Source organism: Homo sapiens, chromosome 2 (assembly GCF_000001405.40).
Source record: "Homo sapiens chromosome 2, GRCh38.p14 Primary Assembly".
In the NCBI taxonomy this organism is placed as follows: Eukaryota; Metazoa; Chordata; class Mammalia; order Primates; family Hominidae; genus Homo; species Homo sapiens.
The window spans coordinates 76,446,663-76,453,415 of NC_000002.12; the positions used below are offsets into that span (position 1 = coordinate 76,446,663).

Genomic DNA, 6,753 nt, shown 5'->3' on the forward strand with positions numbered 1-6,753 from the left:
TGCTCCTTTTTTTTTATTCTTGTCTAGATTCCTTTAACCTAAACTTGTTTTATCCTTCTCAAAAATTCTTAACGTTTTAGTCACATAATTTTACTTTTGAATTTGAGAATAATTTGTTTTTTGGTAACGCCTGCTACATTTGCAGTAAAAAAGTTACTAAGTTTGTTTTAATTTAAACTACCCCCTAAAACTGCCAATTAATCATTAATATATCCATCTGATACCTATTTTACTGCAGTGAAAAAGTATTGATGATCTTGTACAAGAGTGTAGTCTACCTTCCCCTCCCTCCATCACTTTTAATTCAGATCCTATTTTCTCCCTCTCTCCAATCTATTATTGTCATTACTGAAGCCTCCTTGCTGAGTCTTGAAAAGGCTAAACAAAGCACATTAACATTTCTTGTGCTTGGGAACTTTGCTCCAGATTCTCATGTGCCTCACTCCCCATTTCTTTCCTTCATCAGAGAGACTTTCCCCATCACCCTTCTCACATTGCTCCTACCCCACCAGGACCAATTCACTGAGCCCTGCTTCCCTCTGTCTTCCTTAAATTGCTTTAATTTTCTTTGCAACACATATCCTCTGGCCTTGTACATTTTATTTGTTTTATATGCTGTTACTTTCCTCCTACCAGCATGTTAACACCTGGAAAGTAGATGGCTACGTTCGGTTCACTGCTTTTTGAGATGGCTAAAAGCAACATGATAAAGGATCCTCAGTTTCCCTGTTGCCTCTTCTACCCTACTGTTTTCCCTCCCCTCCCTCCTTTCTTTTTTACACCAATAATCACAAGCAAGTGTCGAGAAAAGAGGAATCAGGGCAAGTCTGGGTCACAGACAACAATAACTTCTTGAGCTAAAACCACAAAAACACATAATTGACCATCCTCTAGTCCATAAAAACAATGACCTTGCATTAATCTGGATGTTACCTGGATTCCCCTTGATATGCCACAGTTCCTCAATGCTGTTAACCTCTATTCAAGTCACTGAAATAATTTTCTTTTGATATCTTGCTCCTTGAAGAGTGTCACATATATAATAGGGGCTCAATAAATATCTGTTAAAAAATATTTGTTTGTATCCTTCCTGATGGAATCATAATGTCCATACCATTTGAAGCAAACTTTTTACTGCCTATCTAATTTCATTTCATTAAATTTTTCTCTCCTATGGCATACTTTTAATAGTTATATATTCTACTTATGAACATAAAATTTCTTCATCCAGTTTCTCTTAGATGTTATTGCTGTTATGAATAATGCTGCTGTGAATTGCATGTAGCTGAAATTTTGACCTCACCCTTGGCATCCCTTCATGAGGCCTAAACTCCTCTAGATCACACCACTGTGTGTATGTGTGTGTCCATACTGTCTCGTAAAGCAGTTGAGATTAGTAGGTATTAGCTATAAAGCTGTACAGCTTATAAATAGCAACTTGAAATTTTGCTACTACATTTAGTTTAGTATTTAAGAGTATGATAGGCATATTACTACCTATTTCAAACATGATTACTGGGAAAGATACATTTCCTGGCTGAACTAGAGACTGTTGAACAATTCTGCAAACTGTTCTGTGCCATTAAATTGATCCAAGATCTGCCCAGTGTGGTGAGAAAATAATCCACAAATCCCCTTGCCTCTTTTTCTTGTGACCTTCCTACTTTTTTCATATACTTCTATCCATAATGTGTTATCTGTTTCTTTGTTAATAAAAAATATGCACTTTTAGCTTATTTCTGGAGTTAAAATGCTAGTTCTTAAGAAAACAGTATTTCTCTTTGGGAATAAATTTCTAGGAGTGTAATACTGGGTCAAGGAGCGTGATTTGGATAAATGTCAACAAACTGACTTTCAACTGAGTGTCTGAATTTATTCTCCCACATTTATGTTATATGGTGCCATCCTCCCTCACTTTGATAAACAGTGTTTATCATTCTTTTTCACATTTTCTAATGAAATTTCCTTCTTATCGTAATTTTTATTTGATTACTTTTGAGATGGAACACTTTTATACATGCTTGCTGGGCATTTTTCAGTCTTTCAGAAATTGTCTATTCAATCTGTAGGTAATTTGCTTTTGGTTTTTAGTTTGTTCTACTTAAGGAATGTGTTGCAAATATTTTGTGGCATGTTGCCTGCCTTTGATGTTTTTGGTATTTTTTTTTTTTTACCTAGACAATATTTAAATTTTATTTATGTCAAATCTGGCTGTTTACTTTGGGATTTCCCTTTCCCACCTGACCCCCAGCTTGGGTATAGGTTTAGGCTAGCTTCCTCCATCTTTCGCTTGCACATTGTACTAGTCCGCTTGGGCTGCCATAACAAAATGCCACCAACTGGATGGATTAAGCAGCAGAAGTTTATATGCCCACAGTTGTGGAGGATGATAGTTCCAAACTGAGGTACCCTTAGGGCTGGTTTCTGGTGAGACTGCTCTTCCTTGTTTGCAGAGACTGCCTCCTTGCTGTGATATCATATGGTCTTTCCTCTGTGTGCACAGAGATAAGGATCTCTGGTGTTTCTTCCTTTTCTTATGAAGACACCAGATTAAGGTCCACCCATATGGCCTCATTTAACCTTAAGTAAAGCTAAGGCTTTAAAGGCCCTACCTCCAAATACATCACATTAGGGTTAGGGCTTCTATATGATTCAATCCAAAGCACACATACATCCATCTGTATATTCTAATGGCAGTTTTGGCTTCAATATCTTAAATTTCAATATTTAATCTACCTGGGGATTGATTCTTTTTTGCAGTGCCTTAGTTAAGAAGTTACTTTTGTTTTGTCCCAGTATCTGTAGCTGAACAACCCAGAATTTCTTTACTGTTATAAAAGTCATCTAAATCATTAACTTTTCTAGCATAACTAAATTTTCTCTTTCTCATACATTCATCTATTTCTTACCTTTCTTTTACTTAATTGATCTGTTGATTCCTGTAGAAGTACTACCTCATTTTAGTTATTATTGTAGTGTAGCTCATAAAAGTATTTCTCATTATTGTTTTCAAACATTTCTTGATTTTTACTATTCTCATTCCTTTGTTGGTCCAGATGAACACTTGAATTTAATTAGGTTCCCTTACTTGCATTACGATTAAACATTACTTTCATTTTTGAAAAGCAATCCATTCTTATTATCGAAATATAAGCAAAAAAGAAAATGAAGAAAGCAGAAGAAATATATCTTCCTTAACCTATCAATCTCTATGTATCTATCCACACATTTACCTACTTATCTTCCTAAATAGAATTTTTGTTGAAAACCATCATATATAACTTTTTGTAATCCTAAATATCTCAAAATGAGAGTCACTTATGACAACTGACTCAGTCCACAGTGAAACTGCATACATCTCAAAGTGATAAACATATGTATAAGGGACTGAGGTGATAACACCTACTATGGCCAGGTACTCCCATGACCCCACCACAGAAGGTGAAGCCAAAAGGTGGCTGAGGTACACCATGGACACTCCTGTGAAGGGACATAAAAACAGCAAAGAAACTGACCATGGTGAGACACCTGCAGGAGCTCTGCCCCTGGAAACTCTGAGGCCTCCTCTTAATATAGGCTGTGTTTTCCAGAGAAATCTAAAACTGCTTGGTCTCCCAAGTTACTCACCATGTTTCTTTCTTCTTTTCTCTTATCCTGTGTGTGTGTATTGAATGTATTTGCATGGTTATCAGTGTGTGAAAGCCTGGCAATAAACCGTGAATTTGAAAGCATTTAATTGGCCACTGAGTCATTTTGAAACTTCTTAGCTTTTGGTCAAAGTTAGCACAATTAGGTTGATTCAAACCTGACTGGATGCCCCTCCCCGACCCACTGCCTCCAAGAAAGAACACTCTAGGGCTGGATGGCTTTACTGTTTAATTTTTCGAATATTTAAGGAGGAATTAATATCAATTCAATAGATATTTCTTCAAAAAATAGAAGAAATGGAAGGCTTCTTAGTTTATATTGTGAGGCCAGATTTACTGTAATACCTAACTCAGACAAAAACATTTAAGCAATTAAATCCACAGGATGAGCTCGCTTAAACCTAAATGAAAAAATTTCAACAAAATATCAGCTAATACAATCTAGCAAGATATAAAAAGGATAATATATCACTAAAATGTGAAATTTATCCCAGGAATGCAAAGCTAGTATAACATTGAAAAATCACTCAGTGTATTTCATCATCTCAACAGACCAAAAAAAAGGAAGCTGTATGATCATCTGAAGAGATACGGAAAGAGCCTTCAACAAAATTCAATATCTACTTATGATAAAAATCCTCAGTAAACTAAGTATAGAAGGCTACTTCCTCAATCTGATAAGGGCATGTATGAAAACCCTACAGCTACCATCATACTGAATGCTGAAAAACTAAATTATTTTACAATAAGAATGGAAAAGAGAAATGAGTTCCTCTCTTATCCTCCTACTGGACACCTTTACTAAGCTCTTGGCCAGTGTAAGAAGGCAAAATGAGTAAATAAATAAGTGGATACTGACTGTAAAAGAAGGAGTAAAACACCCATTTATGGACATGATCGTGTACATAGAAAACCCCAAAGAATCTCACAAAAGCTCCTGGAACCAAAAAGTGAGTCTAGCTATGTCACAATACATAAGGCCAACAATAAAAAATCAAGTGTATTGCTCTGTACAAACAATGCCTCATTGGATATTGAAATACAAAAACAGTATCAATAGAATAAGGCCAATACTTTTAAGTCTGTCATAATATGAGCAGCATGTGCATGCTGAAAATTATAAAACACTGATGAAAAAATGAAATAAAGATTTTGTAAATAGAAAAATATACTGTGTTTATTAATTGGAACACTTAATATTGCTAAAATGTTAGTTCTTTCCATATTAACCTATAAAGTTAACAGAATCCAATCAAAATCACAGAAAACTATTTTATAGATAATGACAAGCTGATTTTAAAATCTATATAAAAAGACAAAAGAACTGAAATACTTTTGAACAAGAAGACCAAGATCAGAAGGCTAACAATATGTAATTTCAAAACTTACTATAAAACTACAGCAATCAAAACTGGTATGTTTGAAGAAATAGTCACATAGATTAATAAAAGAGAACAGTAAGCACGGAGTAAGACCCATATGCATTGTATGAGATAATATTTGGCAAAATTGCAAAGATAAAGGATACTCAAACAAATGGTGCTAGAACATTAAAAGAAAAGTTGAACTTTGCCCTTTAACTTCAAACATTAAACAATAATCAACTCAAATTGAATCATAAATCTAAAGTAAGATTTAAAATTATAAAACTATTGGATAAAAACATAGAAGAAAATCTGTGAGTCATTGTATTAGGCAAAGTTTTCATAGATATGACACCCAAAACACATTCCATATAATCAAAAAATTAAGCATGCCCCCTAAAACAAAATATTGAAAAATATAAGGTCTTCAAAACTAAGAAAACTTCTTTTTGAAAGATGCTGCTCAGAGAAGAAAAACCAAGCTACAAAGAGAATATATATGCAAATTCTATCAAGCTAAATAATTAAAAAACAAACAGCTGATTGGCAAATGGACCAATGGTTTGAACAGACACTTCACCAAAGAAGATATACAGATGGCAAACTAGCACATGAAAAGATGCTCAAATAGTCAGTAGGAAAATGCAAATTAAAAATTACAATGAGACATCACGCATACACATTGGAACAGCTGAACAAAACAGAATAAAACAACAAACTGACAATACCAAGTGCTGCTGAGGATGTAGAGCATTTGCAATCCTCATGTGTTATTGGTGGGAATGCAAAATGGTATAGCCACTTTGGAAAACCATTGGCTGTGTCTTATAAAGTTAAATATACACTTGCTCTATGACTTAGCCAGCCATTCCGGACCTAAGTAATTACTGAAAAGAAATGAGAAGTTACAGTCACACAAACATCTTTATGCAAATATTAGTAGTGGCTTTGTTTGTAATGTCAAAAAGTAAAAACAAATTCCAAATATATTTCAACTTAGGAAAAGATAAGAAAACTGTGATACATCCATATAATAGAATACCATTCAGCAATGAAATAGAGTATACTGATGAAAGCTACAGCACTGATGAATACTAAATGCATTATTATACTAAGCGAAAGAAGTCAGACTCAAAACACTACATATTTCTAATTTTATTTACATGACATTCCACCGAGACACAAACAAATGAGTAGTTAACAGATATTGAAATGATGGGAGGGGTTAACTACATAGAGTCAAAACTAGGGAATTGGGGAAAATGATGGGACTTTTCTTTATATTAATTGTGGTAATAGTTACCTGATTACACACATTTGTCTAAATTCAGAACACTACAATAAAAAGAGTGCATTTCTCCTTATGGAAATTTTAAAAGTACATAAAATACAATAAAGAAAAAATAAAAAAGACTTGGGACAAACCAATAAGACTTAGTTGTGAGCAATCTAAGTATGATTATATCAGTGCACTAGCCTTTAAAAGTTTTTGGAAAATATATCAACAAAAATATACCTTCTTGTTTTCAAATGAATTTGGCAGGCCATATACAAACTACTGTGGTATATTTCAAATCCCAAATAATGCTATTATAGGATCAAAAATTACTTTGGCATATATTTTTGCAGCAGTAACAAATATTTATAATAAAATAGGTTTCTATTATGGCTAATTTTAATGGGAGTGTTATTTTGATGTTAATGGTGATGTTTACTGGCTAACATAAAATAGTTCTTTTTGG

At 33.8% G+C, this 6,753-nt stretch overlaps 1 annotated feature.

Annotated features, from left to right (window-relative positions):
* Window positions 73–574: an enhancer, noted in NCBI's record as "NANOG hESC enhancer chr2:76673861-76674362 (GRCh37/hg19 assembly coordinates)". NCBI's record gives its function as "activates a minimal SCP1, AML or CMV promoter by ChIP-STARR-seq in naive H9 embryonic stem cells {active_cell/tissue: H9 hESC(naive)}" and the evidence as "EXISTENCE:reporter gene assay evidence [ECO:0000049][PMID:30033119]".